General features: G+C 43.9%; 1 long non-coding RNA gene across 1 annotated transcript; it reads left to right on the top strand.

Moving 5' to 3' along the window:
* On the top strand, positions 216-19,945 carry LOC105378490 (uncharacterized). Its single transcript, XR_946329.2, has 2 exons — positions 216-5,102; positions 19,778-19,945. It is a non-coding gene; the product is annotated as an uncharacterized LOC105378490 (long non-coding RNA).
* Positions 19,946-22,618: the final 2,673 nt, after the last annotated feature.

The raw sequence follows: 22,618 nt of genomic DNA on the forward strand, positions 1-22,618 counted from the left end.
TTGAGACGGGATCTTGCTCTGTTGCCCAGGCTGGAGTTCAGTGGTGCAATCATAGCTCACTGCAATGTCCGCCTCCCAGGCTCAAGTCATCCTCCCACCTCAGCCTCCTGAGTAGCTGGGACCATAAGTATGTCCCACTGTGTTTGGCTAATATTTGTATTTTCGGTAGAGATGGGGTTTTGCCATGTTGCCCAAGCTGGTCTAGAACTCCTGAGCTCAGGTGATCCGCCTGCCTTGGCCTCCCAAAGTGCTGGAATTACAGACGTGAGCCACCATGCCCGGCCCAGGTTTTTCTCTTAACAGCAGTTGGTTGTTGAGGTGACTCCACAGAGGTGAGGACCCAGGATCTTCCCATCTTGTTCACAATTCAGAAAGTGTCCTTGAATACATGCTTTAAAATGGCTCTCCACTACGTTGGCTTTTCCTGAGACAAGACAGAAAGAGACAGAGCAGTGCACACTCATTTCCTTTGCAGCTATGTCCCGGAAGTTCTGGGCATCATTTCTGTTCACATCCCCTTGGCTAGAGCTTAGTCATGTGACCAGGCCAGATGCAGGGAAATCTGGGAAATTATTCCCCGTGGCTCCCATGCCCAGTGAAAACTCCAAGGTTCTCTGTCCATAGAGCAAAGAGAGAAATGGATATTGGGGTAACTAGAAGTTTCTATCCTATTCCATTTCTGATTTGTGATCTCAGAAATCTGTCTTCACACTAATCCCGCCATTATGACTCTCTTGGCGCCCCCGCCTGTCATGTGAACAGAAGACAGGCCAAGAACATCAACACTCGAAAGTCAAGTATCATCCTGAGCTCAGGCTAAAACTCACAAAGGTCAAGTCAAGGGGTAAAGCATTTATGGAGGTGTTTTAGGTCAATAAAATTCCTCTTCTCAGGTTAGGGCAAGTGAAACCTATTCACTTTATTTAAAAGAGCTTTGTTGATTAAATGCCAAGTCAGTCCTGTTTGGACCTTAAAAGCTCTCAGTTCAGACCGTGAAGGCCAAGGGCTTGCCCGTAAGCCCTTAATCAGGGCCCAGACTGAATTCCTTAGGCTTTATTCCTTTGCAGGGCAGAGAGGGAAAAAAGTGGTGGATTGACAAGGAAAACTGGCTGGTGGTGAATGTGTTCCCCTGCAAGAAGCCCTTGGGAGCGTGAGAGGTAGGCCATCCCTAAGTAGATGGATTCACCCAGGCGCAGAATCCAGATAATCCCATAAAACACTTCTTGTTTTTGTGACTAATCCAACTGTCATACTCTGTTTCCAGGTGCTCAAGCTTTCAAAAAGTGTTGCTGAGTCTTGATGTTCACTTTCTGGTTTGTCCAGAATTCATTTTTCATCTCAACCCTATCTCCAAGCTGCTTTCTTATGTATCAGACAATAACATGCTAAGTAAGGAGAAATCAGGAAGGCAGCAAGGCTGTCCCGTACACTCAGTGTTTGTAATTTGGGTCTTATCTGCTGTTTGGGATTGTGCGTGTTTCCCAGTTCCCTGCCTTTCATCATACTCAGTGGCATGATGGTTATTTGTGTACATGTCTCTCTCTCACAAGAGGAGGAGTGATTCTGAGGAATAAGGCTCCATCCTAGTTTGTGTGGTCTTTCCAGAATCCAGATTGGTGCCGGCACGTGGCAAGCATTGAATCAATGATTATTGAATTGCTGACTTCATTCAGACAACCAAGATTGACCGTGGCGCTTTTCAGTTAATCCACTTTGCCATTGTCAGCATTAAGTTATCAGAATGCCATATTTTTGTTGCATTTGCATGTTTTCTAGATGCAACCCCATCCATTCCCTCCTCCTAACTTCCCTGCAGAGTCTATTGCTATTTTTAAAAATGGAAGGAGTGTTTATCAGAGGTTGGAGAGAGTCTACTCATTATAAAAATTAATAATATGGGAAAATTGTTTGGCAATTTCTTATCAACTAAGCATATGTTTGTCTTAATCCCCAGTAGTTACACTCTTGGACATTTTTCTCAGAGAAATACAAACCTATTTTCAAAACCTATTTTCAGACAAAAACCTTATATGAATATTCATAACAGCTTTATTCGTAATAGCCTAGAACTGGAAACAATCCAAATGTCCTTCAATGGACGAATGGTTGAAAGAAACTCTCATGTATCCATACGCTGGAACTCCACTCAGTAATAAAAAGGAACAAAGTTTTGAGACATGCAATATACTAGTTTACTAGTGCTGTCATAACAAAGTACCACAAATGAAGCGGCCTAAGTGACAGAAATTTGTTTCACTGTTTGGGAAGTTAAAAGTTCGAGATCAAAGTGTCCGGAGCACGTGAGGTCATGCTGTCTGTGAAGGCACTAGGGAAGGCTTCTGGTAGTTCCTTGGCTGGGGCAGTGTAACTCCAGTCTTTGTATAGTGTTCTCTCTGTGAGGTGTCTGTGTCCAAATCTCTCTTTTATAAAACACCAGCCATATTGGATTAGGAGCCCACTCTACTCCAGTCTGACCTCATCTTAGCTAATTATATTTGTTATGACTCTTTTTCCAAATAAGTTCACATTCTGAGCTACTGGGAGTTGAGACTTCAACATCTGAATTTTGGGTGGGACATAATTCAACCCATAATATGCAACAACGTGGATAAGGGCGTTATGCTGAGTGAAAAAAAAGCCAATTCCAAAAGGTTTCATATTATACAATTCCATTTATGTAACATACACCATTTGGTGGTTGCCGGGGGCAGAGACAGGAATGGGAGGATGAATATGTAAAGGGTCACAAGAGGGAGTTTACTTGGAGTGAAGAAATTGTTGTGTATCCTATTTGGTGGTGGTTATGCAAATCTATATGAAGGATCGAATTGCATTGAACTAGCAAACACACACACACACACGCACACGCAAAAACTGATGAAAGCTGAACAAGGTCTGTAGTCTAGTCAACAGTACTGCACTATGTGAATTTTCCAGTTTTGATATTGTGCAAGAGTCAGAAATGATGTCACAGCAGGAGGAATCTGAATGAAGGACTGAAGGGACTATTCTATGTGCTGTTTGCATCTTCCTGTGAGTGTAATCCCCTCAAAATTCAAAGTCAAACAAAATGAATGATAAAACTATGTTGACAGCCGGGATGGAGGAAATGAAAGACTGGGAGTGTGGGTAGGATTAAACAGTTTCTCCTGATAGGGTCACCATCCTCAAAAGGATCGTTGCCCCCTAAATTCCCTGGCATTTGCAGTCATGCCACCTTGCTCCTCTACGAGCAGTAGAGAGATGTGTGTATGGGTGAGACAGGCAGCACTGGGCAGAAAGGTCAGAGCACAAATACTTACCTGTTTGCCTCTAGACTTCTACCTTGAACTTGATTTCCCAGATTTTCAGATTTGCTCTATCTTGCTGGACTTGCTCCATGCTCTGCCACTTGGATGAAATGAACTGCCTCAAAGTTGGCTTTGCCATCTTTCATCCTTGGTTCAGGTGATCCAGGTTCTGGGCTGGCTCTGTCTGCTGCATGCATTTAGACAAGTCGCTTCTCCTGTCTTTGCCTCAGTTTCCTCAACTGTCCAATGGGGGTAAATCATCCTTATCTAATCTTCAACTCTGGAATATCCTAAAGCTTTAATTATAATTGCTGGAAGTTTTCATGCAAATCAAGTTCCATTATAATGACTTCATAATAATAATGTGGTAGTGATTTAATTATTAAGCATCTCCTACATACTAAGCACAAACATTACTTCTTAATGCTCATAAAAATCATGCAAGGTAAGTGTCACGGACAACCTGGGGGTAATACCAAGCACATTCCATGCCTGCTTAGGAAATTGCCCGCCCTGAAGGGGCCAACATTCCCTGTTTGACCTAAAAGCTAAAGGAATCTTTGTTTGAGTCTTGATCCAGGAGACCGGGAGCTTTGTTTACTTTCAAGGGTCCACATCACCCTTTTACACAAGATCCCTGGGGCAGGGGCATGACTGAGTCAGCTTGACAGGCTCATGAGAGCTGATTGTACACATCTCTTCCCAACCCTGGGCTCAGTGACATCACATTCCGGCTTGAAATTGGCCACAGTGGGAGTATTTGCGCCATGGAAATCAGCAAATGCTACAAATCAGAGCTGTGTTTGTTTCCTCCGAAAGCCAGTTTTCCAGCCTGGGATGATCCATTGCAAATGGGATTTCTGGTGGTATATTAAGATGTCCCCAAGTTCCCAAGGTGGATGGGAGGGTTTGGCCACCAACATAAAATACTGATTATGAACATACTTGAGAAACCAACTCCACAGATTACTAGCTGTGTTACCATGGGCAATATACTTACCCTCTCAAGATCTCAGTTTCCTCCCCTGTAAAATGAGAATATTGACAGAGTCTGCTTCCAACCCCTAAAGCACTTTTCACAATGAGGGCCCCAGTAAATATTAGCTTTTATTGAACTGTTGGTTACTTCTATTTTTATTATAAGGTTCCTGGTCTCTATAAGCAGGCAGCTTTTAAGCTGTTGTCCACACCACTTTTCTAAAAAATAATTTGAATATAACATTGAGAGGACAGATTCTGGAAATTTCCACCTGGGTTCAAATCCTTACCCTGCTACTTATTCACTGAATGACTCTGAGCAAGTGACTTAGCTACTCTATGGGCCAATTTCCTCACACGTAGGCTGGTGATTATAATAATACCTACCATTTAGGGTTGTCCCAAGGATAAAGCGAGTCAGTGTGTATAAATCACAGATATCAGTGTCTCACTCGTAGCATTATGTAAGTGTTTGCTGTTATTATTCTGAAAGTTAGTGCACTGGGTTGAATAGTATCTCTCAAGAATTCATATCCTTTCTGGAACCTCACAATGTGGTTCCAAGTAAGGACTTGGAAAGACGGATGTATGTAGTAGATGTGTAGTAGGTGTAATTAGTTAAGATGGCATACGGGAGTAGGGTGAGCCCTTGATCCATTATGACCCGTGTCTTATAAGAGGAGAATGGACACAGAGACAGACACACACATACATAGGGCAGATGATGTAGACAAAGAGAAAATGCAACGTGACGTCAGAGGCAGAGATTGGTGTGATTCAGCTGCAAGCTAGGGATGCCAAGAATTACTGGCAACAGCAAGGAGCTAGGAAGAGGTAAGGAGGGAGTCTCTCTAGAGCTCTCAGAGAGAATGACCCTGCCAGCACTGTGATGTTGGACTCTAGACCCTAGAACTGTGAGACTCACTTTTGTTGTCTTAAGGAAATGAATACAATGAAGTGGTACAACCATAGCTCATTGCAGCCTCCAACTTCTGAGCTCAAGCAGTCCTGCCTCAGCTTCCCAGGTAGCAGAGAGGTTTGAAGGAGGCTGAAACACCCTTATCCACTGCCATCCTTTTGAGCCCCACTGCTTGTGTTTTTTGATGTCCTTTCTGCTTTTGCTCTGGAGGCTCTTTCCCCAGGCTCGGGCCCCCGCAGCAGTGCCCTCCACTGCTTTGAATTCCTCACTTTCTGCAGCTACAAAACAGAGCTTGGTGTGTGTGTCCTGCTGGAAGCTCACTCAGGTTTCACGACACTCCTGTGTATCCCTGTGGACCACCCTAGGAGGTCTCACCTGGAAAGATGATAAACATATATACCACCTTGAACGACAAATCTGAGTTTGTAAGTGGCCTAAAGCGTTCACTTATTTTGCACATACCTCTCACCGTCTGAGATGCTGCCTTTCTTTGCCAAAAAATATATTTTGCTGACTTCTTTCTTTTTAATGGTTGAAGGCAAAGCTTTTATAAGCCGTATTCCCACATGCCACCTACTGATGCCTTACCCATAGCATGGTGGCATCATGTGCTCACCAGCACTTATGGAAAAGAAGTGCATGTTCCCAGTACTGGTCTGAACTTTTATTTACATCATCTCATTTAAACTTCCCAGTGACCCTGAGAAGTCATTATTATTATCTTCATTTTACAGAATAGGGAACTGAGACCCAGGAAGATTATGTGACTTAGCCAGGGTCACACAGCCAGAGTCAGGGTTGGGATTTTATTTGATCCCCTTCTGCCTGACTCGGGTGTAAATGGATTTGCCACTATACCAGTGTTTGCTAAAGTGTGGCCTAATGTGTGGAATATCTGTCCTATGCATGTACCATTAAAAGGGGTTTTGTGATAAAAAAAAAAATGCTTGAGAACAGTTGTAGATTATAGCTCCCTCCTTAGGAATGCCAAATAAAATACAAACACCAGGTTAAATTAGAAATTTCAGATACATAACAAATGGTTTGTGAGTGTAAGTGTGTACCATACAATTCAAATTGAGCAGTGTCCTCCCCCACCCTCCTACATCTGGCAGCTCTATTCCTGGATATTTACAGACGTATGTTTGTAGATTAAAGCTTTCAAGAAATGCTGTGGTAAACAAACCTGTTTGATTTTGTTTAACAAGACATTGTTCAAGTCTATTTGGAAAAGCTTCTTTGGGATGCAGTTTGGGAAATACTGCACTGTATACGTGACTGCCTCCCCATCAGTCTATCCGTTTAGCTTTTGAAGTGAAATAAATCCAGTTAGCCAGGCCTGGTGGTGTGCACTTGTAGTCCCAGCTACTCGGGAGCCTGAGGCGGGAGGATCACTTAAGCCTGGGAGATGGAGGATGCAGTGAACTATTAATATGATCATGCTACTGCACTCCAGCCTGGGTGACAGAGTGAGACCCTGCCTCTAAAAAAAAAAAAAGAAAAGAAAAGAAAAAGTGAAATATGTCCATGATGGATGAATTTTTTTTTTCACTCCCAAGGAATTCCAACTGCCACCTTGCCACCTTGCCACCTTGACTGGTACTTTATGAGTGTAGGACAACTACCTAATCATTTCTAATCCTGTCCCCTCCAGTTTCACACATGCTGCCAAAGAAATCTTCCTAAAATTACCCTTGATTCATGCCAGCTTTCTGCTCAAAACCCTAACAGGATCCCCTGTTCCCCTCTAGTAGGAAGCTTGGACCTACTCTTTGAGAGTCTGGATAATTTGGCTTTGGCCAACTATCCCCACTCTCCATCTCCTCCTCCCTCTGCGCCTATAGACTGCTCACCCCCATTCCCAAGGCTTTGACACTTTTACCTTAGAAACTTTATTTGTGCCCTCCTCTGGCCTGGAAAGCCCTGACCTTCATTCTTCAGACAAAGGCCTGGCTCCTGCCGGTTCTTGCCACCAACTGAAATCTCTTCCCGTCTCAACCCAACCAGCTCATAGCCTGGCCCTTTCATTTTGCCCTTGTGTTAGTTACATTAAAATTTTGTCTTGCTACGTACGTGTTGTTTCATTAGCTATATATGTTTTTTATTATGATCAGAAAAATTCTGTTATCTATTATATTTAACATTTTATGGTTTTTGGTGGCTTTTCCTTTTTCCATTTTAAAGCTTGGGTGGGTTTTCCTTTTTGATGTTCTTTTTTTAGAAAGATAATTTATTGAAGTGGAATTCACCTAACATAAAAGTACCCATTTTAAGGTGAATTTAATACCTTCACAATATGATGCCACCACCATCTTGATCTAGTTCCAAAACATTCCCATCACTCCAAAGTAAAACCCCTTATCCATTAAGCAGTTTCTTTATGTAACCCCCAAGCCCTTAGCCCATGGCAGCCACCAATCTGTACTCTGTCTCTGTGGTTTATCTATTCTGAATATTTCATATAAATAGAATCACAAATATGTGACCTTTTGCATGTGGCTTCTTTTGTTTAGCATAATGTTTGCAAGGTTCATCCATTGTAGCATATATCAGTGCTTCCTTTCTTTTTAAGGCCAAGTAATATTCCACTGCATGTAAGGACCACAGTTTCTGTACACATTCATCTATCGATGGACATTTGGGGTTTCCACCTTATCGATATTGTGGACATTCCTGTGCATTACTTCGCTTGACTTACTTTCCACAAGAATTTCTCTAAAGGAATGCTACTAATGGGGAAAATGGAATCTCAGAGACTCAAAGTAACTGCCCATTGGATTGTTTGGGGAATGGGGAGGAAATAGATGGCTCCCTCAAATGCTGGTAGTAATGCCGAAGTTGGGAGCAGGGGTGAGGAAGGCAGTGAGGGATGGGGAGGTACCCAGAGCTTGCATCAGCAGGAAGCCACCACTACCCCTGGGCCTGCAGGGATGAAGGGAAGTCGCTGTGCTGCTGGGATCCGGAGAGTGATATGGGACAGGGCTGCCTGGCAGGAGCCAAGGCCTTCAGAAAAGAAACACACCAGCTAGAATCTACAGCCTAGGGGAAGGGAGCTGGGGGAGCAAATACCAGGATCTCCCTTTCTTCCAACCCTCCAGCCTCCTGCCAATGCCTCCTATTGGCGGAAGCCGAGTGGAAGCCGGAGGGTGGGGGAGCCAGGCTTCTGGGCATAGAGTGAGTGCAGGAGGATGGAGAGTGAATCTGGAGGGCAAACTGAGCCTGTCTGGGATAGCCTTTGTCACACATGTCACACAGCCAGAATCAGGACTGAAAGGGGGATCTCTGACTCCAGATCCCATGCTCTTCCCAGTCCCAGAGGCACCTGCCAAATGACACAGCTCAGACTTTCTACTGCTGGGGCCTTTATTTCCCTATCCTTCTGAAGGAGAGATCCCAGGGAGGCTGGCATTTGCAAAGGTGCAGGACCTGGTTATTTGGCCTTCTCTTCTCACCTCCCCCCACCTCCTCCCACAGGGGCCGCTCAGGGAGTTGGACCTCCAGCACTTTCCCCGCTTTGCTGTGTAACCCGCATCTGCACACCAAGTGCGGCAGACCAGTGGGCCCCTGGGGGCTGGGGGCTTTTCTTCTTTCTCCCTTGTTCCTGTTCATTTTGGAGCCGTAAGAGAGCCATGGAGAGAAAGAACTGAGAAAATCAAGGGCTGAGAGACTGTTGTGAAAAGAGTCCGTGGAGACAATACAGTGAGTGCTTAGTGAGGTCCTGAATGCAGGGCTTATGGGGCTGTGCTGAGCCCTCAAATAGGCCTTTTGTGCTCCTTTCTATTGACTGTTACTAAACCCTTCAATGGGCTCCCATTGTGCTTGGAATAAAATCCAAACTCCCCACCCAGGCCCACAGCGCTCCAGCCTCATCTTATACGCTGGCCTTTCTCTTCTCCCCACTTGCCTTCCTGCAGCTCCTGGGCACACCCAGAAGTCTCCCACTTCTGGAACTTTGTACCTGCTGGCTCATCCTCTGCCCGGGCTGCAGCTTCTTGCATTCTCCCCAGGGATGGCACCTTTTTCTGCTTCAGGTCTTGCATGAAACATCACCCCCTTAGAAAGGCCAAGTTTTCTCTTTTGGTACCTCTGTATTGTGCCTGTCTCGCCCTCTAAGCTGTCAGCTCCATGATGACACGGAGCTCGTTGGCCTTGTTTACTGCTTTATCCTCAGTCTCTAGCAGAACCCAGCATAAAGCAAGCACTTGAAATGTGCTTGCTGAATCAGTAAATGCAGGTTATGCTTCACGGCAGAAGTAGAGAGTGGTGAACTTTTTTTTTTTTTTTTTTTTTTTTTAACCACTCAGCTGTTTAGATTTGACTTCTCCTTTTGGATTTCTGGTCTCAGATAACGTACAAAAACATCTCTGATCACTTGACTTGGGTGTTGCATGCTGTCTTTCGTTGGCAGAGGTTCTGGATTTTCGTCTATGGTTTCCTCTGTAGTTGTTATGATACAGAAATATATTCATTGCTTCAGAGCTGTAGTAGTGAGACTGTTCATCACAGGTCTCCGTAGGTTTGAGTTCTGGCTACTAAATAGCCACGGAGTCTTGTAAATAGATCTTTCTTCCCTCCATTCTGCTCCCCTTCTTCTCTTCCTGCCTCCCTCTCTTCCCATGACACATGGCAGGTGTTAAAAAGGTATTTGATTATTTTGATTAAATGATGTGATATTGACCTTCATCTACTAAGAAAGAGTATCTTGCTGGCACCTGTTGATAACTTGTAGTTATTGAACATGAGTGGCTAACCTGGTTCTGATTCTTATCTCTCAACTCAGTTCATCGTATTGTTAGGATCTGAAATCTCTTCTATATTAACCTTTTATTGTTTGACAGAGACCTAAGATTTTTATAATGTTCAAGGATGGTTGTGGGTACACTATTAGATGCCATCATGGGATGCCATCATGGGGTGCCTGGAAAAGGTAGATCAACATTTTGTACCAGTTGTGCCACTTCCAAGTTGAGAGGCTGAAGGCAATCTCTTCACCTCTTGGTCTTCAGTTGTCTTGGTTTTCTTATCTGTACATGAAAATATATAAAGGCTGTAGGTTTCTAAAGTCCCTTCCAAGGCCAAGGTTTTATCATTCTATCTCGCCTCTTACCTTCCTTTCTGTAGTAGCTCTGCTTTCTTAATCTAATCAAGAAAGGTTCAAATAAAGGGAGCCACTGTCAAGATGCCTAAGGAGAAATCAAACCACGTGGACAGATTAGGGCCCAGGAAGCAGCTCACCTCCACCCATAAGTGCACTTCCTTCAGTTTCTTCTCTTCTTTTCTACTTTCTCCTACCCCTTGTTTGCTTTCTTCTTCTTTTAAAACTCTAAACAGTGAAGGGAGAAATATTCTAGGTGCTCAAAACTCAACACACTCATCTTGCAGTTTAGCCGTGCACAATGGAGAAATCCTCTTGTCCTCAATGAAGTGCAGCTATTGTGATCTTCTATAAAGGAAACAATCGTCACTGTTCACATGGGTCCAGTTGTTTATATGTAATTCATTCAGCGTTGCGTTTGGCATACAAGACTTCTTTAAACCTCGCAGCCCAGGATCCATTTAGTTTTAGAAATTAAGCCAAATTCCTTTTTTCCTTAAGTGCCTTTTCTTATTCCTGGATAAAATCAATAGACCATGAAATATCTGTATTGAAAAATGATATGACCAAACTCTCTCCGAGAATTCAGGGGTTAAAATGTGGTTTGAGGCTTAAAGGCCCATTAAGGTACTATTGGATTATGGTAAAATCCTTCTGAATGTGAACTTTCCTACATTTTGATTTAGAAATGTAATTCAGCTCCAGGTCCTCAAAATCCAGATGCTAAATATTGCTTTTAGTATACATTAGTGCTGAGGAAGGCAGTGGCATGATGCCTTGAAAATATGATTCATTTGGCCTCTACTTTTAATGACCTTGAAAGAGGATCATTTTCCCACTTGGCACTGAGAGAAAATGATAACCCAATTATCAACGAGGGAGTGTTATTAAATTAATATATGCCTCAGGTAAGGTATGCATGAATTTTCTTAGAAATCTACCATCTTGATTTGGAAATATGCATCATAAAATGTTGTCTAAGAAACTCTATGTCATGAAGTTGACAACCCACATTTCACAGATGAGAAAACCGGGACCCCAAGAGGGAAATGACTTGTCCAAGGTCACAGAGTAGCAATGCTTTGATCAAACTGGGGAAACTGACATTCAGTGAGCATGACGTTTAGGACTTTGCAGTGCTCAGAAAGACTTAGCTCAGAATTTTTTTTTTTTTTTTTTTGAGCCATAAAGACTGTGTTATAATAAGACAGGAGAGATTATACAGATTGAGGCTCAGCTCTGTCACTTACAGCCCTGGGTCATTAGCAAACCCCTAATTTTCTAAGCTTTAATTTCCTCATCTCCAAAATGGGATTCATGGAGATAACAGAGACGATGGGTAGTGGTGAGGACATAGTGCAACAGCACAGGAAAGCTTAGCTTCATATACAGCAGGGTGTTTGATGAAGCCGTGGAATCATTGTAAAGGGGCTTCTCAGCCACACCTTTACTAATTCAGAAATACAGATTTCATAAGTACAGTCAATAACCCCAGAGAAAAATTCAGATTCTATATTGCCATATATATTGCCAGTAGTCTGTGTCGAATTTTTAAGGATTGAAAAATGACATGTGGGGTTGCCCTATATGGGGAGTTCATAGTAAAATCCTCTAGAAAGCATCTCTAAACTGGGCCAACACTGATGATCGTAATAGCCATATGCACATGTAATAGAAATTAAAGAGTTTTTGAATATAAATGCCTGGCACTCAGAAAGCAACTAACAAATGTCTGTTGAATTAAATTACATTGAACAAGGCAGTAGGGAGGTCTTGCCACCAGATTTAACAGAAACCAGGAAACAGACACTCCATTTAAGCCTTCTAATCCCATAAAGCAGGGGTGACAAATACCACTTTCATATTCCATGCCCAGGGCAGACATGACTAATCCATCCCAGCACTCATAGCTCCCAACCTTATATTCATTTGTATGTGTGTCTCTCCCATTAGGCCATAGGCCCTTAGAGAGAGCTGACTGAGTTCTCTTTCTTCTTTACCTCTGGCAAGCTTCACAAAGAATGCAAATGCTTACTAGATGGATAAGCTCAGAGGAGTTTAAGAGGTTGCCCAAGGCCACCCAGGAAGTAAGTCTGATCTGCGGCTACACTTCCTTCTCCGGCGGGGAGAACTGGAGTGTACTGGTGTCATGGAATAATATTGTGAGGTACTGATGGAAGCCTTGTGAAAAGCATAAACTGAAGCATAATTTACATGTGGTAAATGCAGAGCTTTTAACTGTACAGTTGTATGAATCTTGACATATGAATATACCCACATAACCACCCGCGAGTCAAGATACCTTTCATTCTAGAAAGTTCTTTTGTGCTCCTTTCCAGTCAATTCCTCTCCAGAGACAACCTGTTCTAAAACTTCATAACATTGAATCCTAAAGTGTGTACTCTTTTGTGTCTGGCTTCCACTCATCATAACGTTTTGGAAGTTCATCTGTGTTGTGGGTCCATTCGTAGTTTCTTCCTTTAAACTGCTGAGTGCTATGTTATTGTGTGAATACATCACACGTTGCTTGTTGCTTATCCATTCACCCAGGGGCATATGTGTTACTTCCAGTTTAGTCTGAAATGGCTCCCAGTGGTCCACTCCTGCAGATGTTTGTATCCTTGTGTAATCTCCTCCCTTTGTGTGTGCCACACCCACTGCCTTGCTTCTAACAAGGAGAATACTGGAGAAAGGGATGAGATGTCAGCTCTGAGATTAGGTGTTGTAGGGCTGTGACTTCTGCTCTCTCACTTATTTTTACTTTCCCACTCACCTATTGTGATGAAAACAGCCACGGTATTGTAAGCCAGAGTTGCGTGTGGCAGGGAACTGAGGAAGACACATAACCAGCAGCCAGGGAAGAACTGAGGCCCTCAGACTGACAGCCTGCGAGGAACGGAGCACTGTTGTAGCCACATGAGTGAGTTTAGAAGCAGATCCCTTTCCAGTGGAGCTTTGAGATGACGGCTTCCCTGACCAGCATGGTAATTGCAGCCTTGTGAGAAACCCTGAGCAAGAGGACCCAGCTAAGCAGAAACTGTGAGACAATACATATGGTTGTTCAAGGGACTAAGTTTTGGAGAAATTTGTTATGCAGCAGTGGATAACTAATACAGGGTTATTTAAATAATACTGTGGAAATTCTTGAACAGATGTTTTTATGGGCATTTGTTACATATGTTTAATAAATATCTTATAATCCCTTTTAACTCCATCGTTATCACCACCCACCTGATCCATTCAAACTGAGCTATGAGGCACTCATTGCCCGGGGGGAGGGTTGTCAGAGTGGCACAAAGGCATTGCATTTTGTACTTTGAGTTTTTGTGAGTTTACAAAGCTGAGGTCAGGGAGAGTAAGAAGATCCAAGAGACTAGCTTGTCTCATCTAGAAGAGGTACTAATTCCCTGGGTTAGGTAAAGATGGTGAGCATGAGGGGAGAAGCTAGAGCCTGTTGGGACTCCAATAAGTGTCCTTGTCCTCTGCTGCTCTTCCCCTGTGGAGCTTCAGTGATAGACCCTCTGGATACACTTGGAGATCTGGAACAGAGGGGACTCATTCCTCCCATCCATCCATTCCTTGCTGGGTCCTAGGAGAGCTCTGGGTCCCAGATTATCCCTGTGCTTGGGTGGGTACCATGGGCAGTGGCAACCATGTTGGTGAGGCCTGTTGAGTCACAGAAGGCTTGAGACAGCTCCAGTGAATTTTCCACAGCCCCAGGGAGAACAATTATAGTGACCAACATTTACCTTTGCTGGAGACTTCCTGAATGGGAGCAGGGGCAGATACTGTTGACCAGGGACCTACAGGACTGAGACTGCATAGAAGATGCTGAAGAAGACAGATGATTGCCAAGAGTTAGATCCCCCTCCCTACCATCCCTGGAACTTGGATGCAACCCTGAAGAAGATAGGATAAAAAAATGCTGAAGTCAATGAACTCACCTACATTTAGTAAGATTAGTTTCCTTCTGTCGTTTTTGCCTGAGGAGCTTGACAGAAATTAAACTGAATTTCATACAATTAAAGAAAATGACTTTTTCTTTTACATTTGAGTTTTTGTGGCACATGGGTGTCGTATCTGCTACCCTGGCACTGTTCAAGCTTATAGCAGCATTGCTGAAATCAACGTGGTAGGAGAAGGCACTAGAGGCTGGGCGCCATGGCTCACGCCTGTAATCCCAGCACTTTGGGAGGCGAAGGCAGGTGGATCACGAGGTGAGGAGTTCAAGACCAGCCTGGCCAAGATGGTGAAACCCTGTCTCTACTAAAAATACAAAAATTAGCCGGGTGTGGTGGTGCACACCTGTAATTCCAGCTACTCGGGAGGCTGAGGCAGAAGAATCGCTTGAACCTGGGAGGTGGAGGTTGCAGTGAGCTGAGATTGCACCACTGTACTCCAGCCTGGGTGACAGAGTGAGACTCCATCTCAAAAAAAAAAAAAAAAAAAAAAGGCACTAGAACGGGGAGTTGGAGAGGCCATCCAGTCAACTGCCTTCTCTTCATGCTCCAGTGATTTATCTTTGGAAAACTTGACCCTGTCTGAGTTTATCAGCAACTACTTCTTGGTGCAGCCACTGGAGATTCCCAAGTCGTCATCCTCACTGAGAGGCATAGCAAAATATCTTTCGTTTGGAGTACCTTGTATGCCCTTACAATCTGTCAGTATGTCAAGGAGACCTGCATTATAGGGCTAGACATAGTTCCTTTATTCAATGAGGCCCCTGATCTCAACATTCACAGAAAATGGGTCTGGGATGTGGTCTCAGGATCTCAGATCACTTCAATGTGCAAGATGCCAATAAAAAAAAATTAAAATGTAGAACCCCCAGTGTATCCCAATAGAATGAAAAGTACCAATGCTTTGAAATCACACAAATTTGGCTTTTAATAACTGTGTGGAAGATCCTTAAGTTTTATTTTCCCTCTGATATAGATATAATCCTTCAAATGGACTTGGCATGAGATTAAAATAAGAAGAAAGAAAGATTAATGGTTAAAAACACAGGCTCTGGAATCAACATCTGGGAGTATATACTCTGCCTACCACATATGTGTTTCTTTGGGCAAATGACTCAACCTCTGTCTTCTATTTCCTTTGAAAAGGGACATTAATAATATCTATCTTATAGGATTGTATTGGGGTTTGGAGATGTATGAACACATCAAATCTTTGTTCCTTGATGAAGTTTGACACTAATTGAGAAAAGGACACAGGAGTCAGGTAGATGGAGATGAAAACACCACCTTTAGGACTTTCATAAGCGAGGCTGGAGGATGTGCTTGGGTTCATGGCAAGCCAGCAACGGTGAGCTGTGGAACGCCGAAACCATATGGAGACAGACTATCTTCTCAGACAAGGCAAGTGGAGATTCAAAGCACACTGCCACTTAGTGGTCCCAGAAGGAGCAGAGCCTGCTGCAGTTAAACTTAAGGAGTAGAAGGACAGAGCTGAATGGAGACTCTCTGCAAGCAGGTCCATCCCAAAGAGAAGCAGAGAAAGGGACAATGCCACATATACTCTGTTCCTCTCCCCAAATCCTTCATCAATTAAGCCATTCTTCCTGTCTTGGAGGGTACAAGGAGGGGAGGAGGGCCAAGAGTGGTGTGTCAAACCAAGGGCTTTCCCCCTGTATTAGACTGTTTTCACACTGCTGATAAAGACATACCCGAGACTGGGTAATTTATAAAGAAAAAGACGTTTAATGGACTCACAGTTCCATGTGGCTAGGGAGGCCCCACAATCATGGTGGAAGGTGAAAGGCACGTCTTACATGGTGGCAGACAAGAGAGAATGAGAGCCAAGTGAAAGGGGTTTCCCCTTATAAAGCCACCAGATCTCATGAGACTTATTCAGTACCACAAGAACAGTATGGGGGAACTGCCCCCATGTTTCAATTATCCACCGCCTGGTTCCTCCCACAACATGTGGGAATTATGGGAGCTACAGTTCAAGATGAGATTTGGGTGGGGACACAGCCAAACCATATTACCCCCAAAACACAAGGCGGAAATTATGGTTTCCCTAATAGACCATGGACATTAAATCAAATGCTCACCTGAGAGGAGTTTAGCATGGTACAGAGTGCTTGGCAGATACACTGCAAATCTTAGCTCCCTGCCTGAACATTCATACTCTAGAATTCTTACAAAAGGATTCAAAAAATACTACTACTCAGAAATAAATTAAGAACTTGATATATTGCTGGGTCCACCAGTGTCTCATCTGTTTTTCTTTCTGCACTTCGTCATCTAGAAGAAAAGGGAAAGCACATTTTTTGAGGAGCTGGACTCCCAGTGGGCTTGAGGACTCTCTGCAGCATGTCAAGCAGATATTGACTTTTGAGCCGCACTAGTGTAGCACGATCAATGTACACCGTTCCTGGCCCCTGGCTTTTTCCCTTGCAGAGCTGGCTCAGCTGTTAGCCACGGGGCTTCGCAGGGCACCAAGTCATACTATTCTCCACCGCACAACAATGTCAGTGCCATTGCCGACAGCACGGAGAGCTGTACTAACAGAGCAGAGAGAAGCCCCGTGGGGGTCAAGGAGGGCCACAGCTTCTTCTCCAGCTGGGCCTTTGCCAAGAGCCTCTTCTGGGCTCCTTTTCTTCTGTGGATCGTACTTCTCACTGGCATCCTGCAGCCACCCCTACTTGTGTTCAAGTCTGGAGAAATAGCAGGGAAGGTGATGCCCTGAGACATCTGCCTCTGAGGAGCCTCGTGTGTGTGTGTGTGTGTGTGCATACGTGTGTGTGCATGTGTGCCCATGTGTGTGCATACCCCTGTGTGCATGTGTGCATACGTGTGTGTGCATGTGTGCCCATGTGTGTGCACACGTGTGCCCATGTGTGTGTCTGTGTGCCTGCGTGTGTGCCCATGTGTGTGCATGTGTGCCTGTGCACTCCTGTGTTAACTTGCTGCTGGCTGCCTGACTGGGTCCCTTTCTAATCTATCAAGGCCAACAGCACAGTAGGGAAGAACAACAGGAGCTCAGGAGCCAGATCGTCAAAAGTCAAACTTAATCGCTTACTCTCCTTATAGCCTGGAACAAGTGACTCCTTAAGCCTCAATTTCCTCATCTATAAAATAGGAATGATAGCACCTGTCTCTGCAGTGTCTATAATACATAGAGAGCATTTTAGAGGGTGAGGAGGAGGGAGAGGATCAGGAATAATAACTAATTGGTACTAAGCTTAATACCTGGGTGATGAAATAATCTGTAGCACAAACCCCCATGACACAAGTTGACCTATGTGACAAACCTGCACTTGTACCCCTGAACTTAAAATAAAAGTTTAAAAAGGAAAGTAAAAAATAAGTATGCATTAAATATGCTGTTGGGTTTTAAAAAATTAGTCTCCTGTCTCAAAAAAAAAATTTAATACTTGGCACACGGTACCAATCAATAAAGTTTAGCTTTCTTGTTGTACCATTAATATTGTCATTTCATAATGAATTTGAAATATTTTACAAAAAGTATGCACAGGAAATCATGTATTTGAACAAAAATCACCATTGAAAGAGAAATGGGAATAAGAATAAGACATGTGTATTATGGCAGGTACAGTTTAGCACAGAGAGGGTAGCTGTGGTGGGAGGAAGCAAAGAAATAGGGTTTTAAAAAGCAGAGTATAAGATTATATATAGTTGTCATAATAAGTTGTCAGTTTGGTTCTGAGCTTCCTGGCAGCCAAATCAAAAAGAGAAACCACTCAGATCATGAGAGATATAACCTTAACCAAAATTTAAAAAATTAAAAAGATCTAGCTCATATACTTTATTTCCTGAAGGATCAGATCACAAAGTTAACAGCATAGGATTCTGGATGGATCAACATTGCCTTTTGGCTTTGTTATGTGTGTGTGTGTGGGGGGGGGGGGTGGGTGGCAATAAATAGCTGTTTGCTCAACTAAATTTGTTCATAAATCATCAGGGTATTACCTATTATTCTGAAAGTCATTTCATTTTGATTAAGTTATATGCTTCACATTTAAAGGTTACAAGTTCCTATGTCCTGTAGCCTGTTTTGCTTCTGATCTTGAAACAGTTTGTAAAGGGAAGTTACTCTCCTTGGCTTTGAAAGTGAAGCTCTCCAGATAAGTGCATTTATCCTACTCTCACTGAAGGTGAGAGACCTCCCAAAGTCATTTATGGCAGTACTGGCCCCTTCTGTTCAGCCCCAAGTTAGTCCTATGAGGTTTGTGCCTCCCCTTGCCTTCTGAACTTGGGTCTGTTTCCCATGAGCAGCTCTTGGGTTCTCTCAAGTCAGCACTGGTGCTTGGCCTCCCTGTCTCCACTCATGGCTCCTCCTTCAGGGCTTGGATTGGAGTGATCCTGGTTCTGCCATGGTCAGTCTCAGAATGGGAATTCTCAGCCCTGCATTGGGATGCCACCCTCTGAGTCATCGAGGGCAAAGGCACTGAGCCAAATGGAAAATAAGATGTCAGAAATCCATACTGATCCTGGGAGTAACTCTAGGAAGAGAGTTGTGGTGGACGCCTTCTCACAGTGGCTCTGAATGCTCCCGTTTCCACTGTGTATCTGTAGCAATCATAACCAAGCACTGGTTATTTGCAGCTCACAGATTGCAAGGGTTACCATGGTTCTGATAACAGGCCTGCCCTTGCTCCAGTTGAGTTGAGTGCATGTGTGATCAGAAGCTGTTTGTGCCCTAGAATTCATTACCATGTTTGCACTGAAGCCAGGCCCACCGTTGGCTGCTCTTAGCCAATGAGACACAACAGGGATGCTAAGGCCAGTGTGCTCGTGGGGAATGCAGGACTTCTCTGATGGGTAATTTTGGCTGGAGGACTCCCCAGTGGCCTTGCCAAACTTTCCTTAAGCTACAAAGCAATCCAGGATGCTACTGCCCAAACTTCGTTCAGCTGGAACACCTACATGTGGCCTCTCCAAGTGGCCCGGGCTTCCATACAGCATAGTAGGCTCCCACAATAAACATCTTGAGAGAGAACCAGGCAGACACTGTATCCGCTGATATGACCTAGTCTTGGAAGCCACACAGCATCACTCCACACATACTATTCATTGCAAGCAAGTCACTAGAGCCTGCCCATATTCAGGGGGAGGAGAACTAGACTCTACTTCCTCATGGGGGATGTCTCCAAGAATGTGTGGACATGTTTGAACTCACACAGGGAGTGTCGTTTGCGTTTTTCAGAAGTCTTCTGGTTCAAACTTGTGGGGTGGGGATGGGCTTTCTTAGGTTCAATATTCGTATGCGGAGATTCTTTTATAAGGGGTGTGGAGGTACAATGAAATCTGAGTAGCTTCGAGGTCGTCACAGATTGTCTTGTTACTAGCTTGCTTGTCTCTTGCATGCTGTTAACGGGTTAGTTTTCCTGACACTCAGAACAACAGCCACACGGTTAGTTGGTGGAAGACGTAGGACTTGAACAATTGTCCCCTCACTCTCATTCTGGGTCTCTTTCCATAGCACTGGGATGAACTGAATTCTATGCTTCTCCCATCATTTCAGCTTTCCAGAAAACCCGACTAATGAGAAAACCAGGGACCAGATGCCTGCCTGCTCTAGGCATTGAGACTGATCATGTCAAATGCCACTGAATTTTCCTCTTCACTGTTAAACCTGGAAGTTTCTTACTGCCAACCATGTATGTATGTATTTAAAAAAACTCACAGCTGGTCCTTTGTTGCTGTCTGTTTTCATTGTGCCTTTCTTCTCCTCCAAGTCGCACATGAAGATGTTTTTCAAAAAAGCAAGTTAAGAAAGTGAAATTAAATCACTGACATCTGCCACTCAATCTCACTCAACGGCCTTGTTCCCTGCATTCTTGTGGGCAGAATTTAGGACTTTGTTATTATTAGTTCTTACTATTTCTCCTTTTGGGAGGATGGGCGGGAGGCCAGTAACGAAAAGGAATATAGACAACTCAGTGATTCCGGTACAAGTTTCACTTCCTGAGAGTGGTGGTAACTATTTTGATTTTTTACTTGGTGAAATAAAAACAAGGGAATTACTAAAGCGAAACACATTGATGAAATAAAGACTCTGTATTACTTTATAAAAGTAAAGGAAAACTCTGAGGACAGAATTCTTTATCAATAAAATGAAACAGAGTTAACAGTTATATTTTTACACCTTCTCTTAAAAGACAACATCTTGACAAACCGGGTGTGAAATAACATTTAATTTCACAACCGGGGGCACTTGAATTCCATTTTTGTGGCAGTGCTATTGTTAGACAATCAAAGGCCGAGTCTTGGAACATGTGTGGATGTCATTCCAGGGTAAGAGAAGAGAAAATTGTTATTGTTTTTTAGTTAAGAAAATAACTTACATTATGTAAATTATGCTAAGTAGGCAACTTACACTAAGTAGGCAACAACTGCTACACACAAGCTAATAGCACATCTCCGGAAAAGCTGGTGATTAGGATTTGGGAGGCTTATACTGTTTTCAGTATGGATACCAGGCTGGTGCTGAGCTATCTGTTGTCTGGGATACGTATTCCTTTTCACCATTAGAATTTTCGTATGCTATTGCGTATGTGGTTGCATCTGTACAAGGAAGGTCACTACCGTTCTTTCACTGGGTTCTCGGAGTCGTCCTGTGATATTCTAGATCAAGTTCTTGCTAATTCAAGCCCACGTTTCCGGTCACACCAGTGTTCTGGTGCCTCCACACTGTTCCTCTGGGCTGAGATCTCAGGTATCAGGAGATGCTGTTTAAAAATACAAAGCAGAACCTGGGGGAGGGGGGGCGTTTAGTATGTCTCTTTTCTCCAAGCTCCACAGGTGGTTCTGGGCCACTCTCTAGGTTAAGAACTCTGAGTGGACATTGGTGGAAAGATGAAGAAAGAAATAGACTTGGAGAGTCTCAGCATCTTCAGAGGTCATGAAGTCCATTCCCCTCATTTTCCTCCAGAGAGGTTGAGTGAGTTTCCATGGGAAACACAGCAGATAGGTGGCAGATCTGAGGCCAGAACCCAGGTTCACAGGCCTCTGGACCTGGCCTCATCCCTGTGCCAGGTCTGTGTTTGTAGCTAGAATCTTGTTGGGCCAGTTCTGTTGTGCTGAGGCCTGGGGTGGGAAGGAAGGCTGGGCTACCCTAGGCTTGTAGGCAGAAAGTGGGAGAAGAAACACGAAGAAATGAAAGAAACCAGAGAATCCCACTGTCTCACACAGTTTCTTATCCCCGGGATGAGTTAGAAACAGCAAGTTACTGACACTCAAGTCAGAACTGAAAAGTTGTGGCGATTGCTTGGAGATTCTGTCTCGAGATTTATTATTCTGTAAGATGGTGAGCGGCTGCCTGGGCTGCTGGTCTGAGCCCTGGGCTCATGGAAACGCCTAAGGAAGAGGGAAGCTTTTAGAGTAAAGCCTTGTCTTTGGAAAACATAAAAATGAGCAGCCGACCACCCTGGGGGCCTCGGTTTGCTTCCCTTCTCATGAAAGGTTGTCCTTTCTCGCTGTGTACGACAGCAGATCGGCCTTTCCAGCCAGTTCCATGTGCTTTGTTTTAAAGGTTTAAAAACAGAATTATAAGGCCTTGTAAAGCTGTGATGAGACATGGCTCTACCTTGTACATTCACATCGTGTAAAAGAAAGGGAGGCTGTGTTGAGTTGTGTCTGAACGTACAAAGTAACTGCCTAAAATGAGCTTTAAATGCCCTGTGGATGAAGCTCACACTCTGACGCATGACATTCAAGGCTTGTTTTGGGAAACCTCTGCAGACTCTCAGCCACAGCTTCCTCCACAGCCTCTGTTCTGATGTGCCCAGCTTGGCTGACTTCCTCATGTCATAGGGCCTTCACTTGCCTGGAGGTCCCCCTGCTAGGATGCCTGCCTCCTGCGCACTTCAGTGGCTTAACTCCTATCTATTCTTCAGGACTCAATTTAGGGCCATCTCCCCTAGAAGGCTTCTCTGACAATGCCCTTCCTCCATCTAGGGATGAAAAGGACAAGGGGGAATCCAGAAATTCCCAGACTTGTAAGGTTAAAGGATGTATCTCTAGCCAGTAAAACATTTTCAGATGAAGACACAGCCCTAGAACAAACACCGAAAGAAGAGCTTGGTCATCATCCATTGGTTGTGAACTCTGATTAGTTCCAACTTTCCCCCTTTAAATCCTTGCATTTGCACAATTATTTCAAGTTAAAGAATCCTAAGGTGGACCTGCCAAGGCGCAATAAGTTCAAAGCACCTGTAATTAAATCTATAGAAAGAGGGGTCTGGGAAAAAAAAATGTGTGGGTGTTGCTATTGGCCCATGGAGCTTCCTGAAGTCAAACTGATTAAAAAACAGTAACAAAAACCAAAGTTTCTGAGAGCTCTGTATTGCACAAAGTGCTGCCA

Source organism: Homo sapiens, chromosome 10 (assembly GCF_000001405.40).
Source record: "Homo sapiens chromosome 10, GRCh38.p14 Primary Assembly".
Classification (NCBI taxonomy): domain Eukaryota; kingdom Metazoa; phylum Chordata; class Mammalia; order Primates; family Hominidae; genus Homo; species Homo sapiens.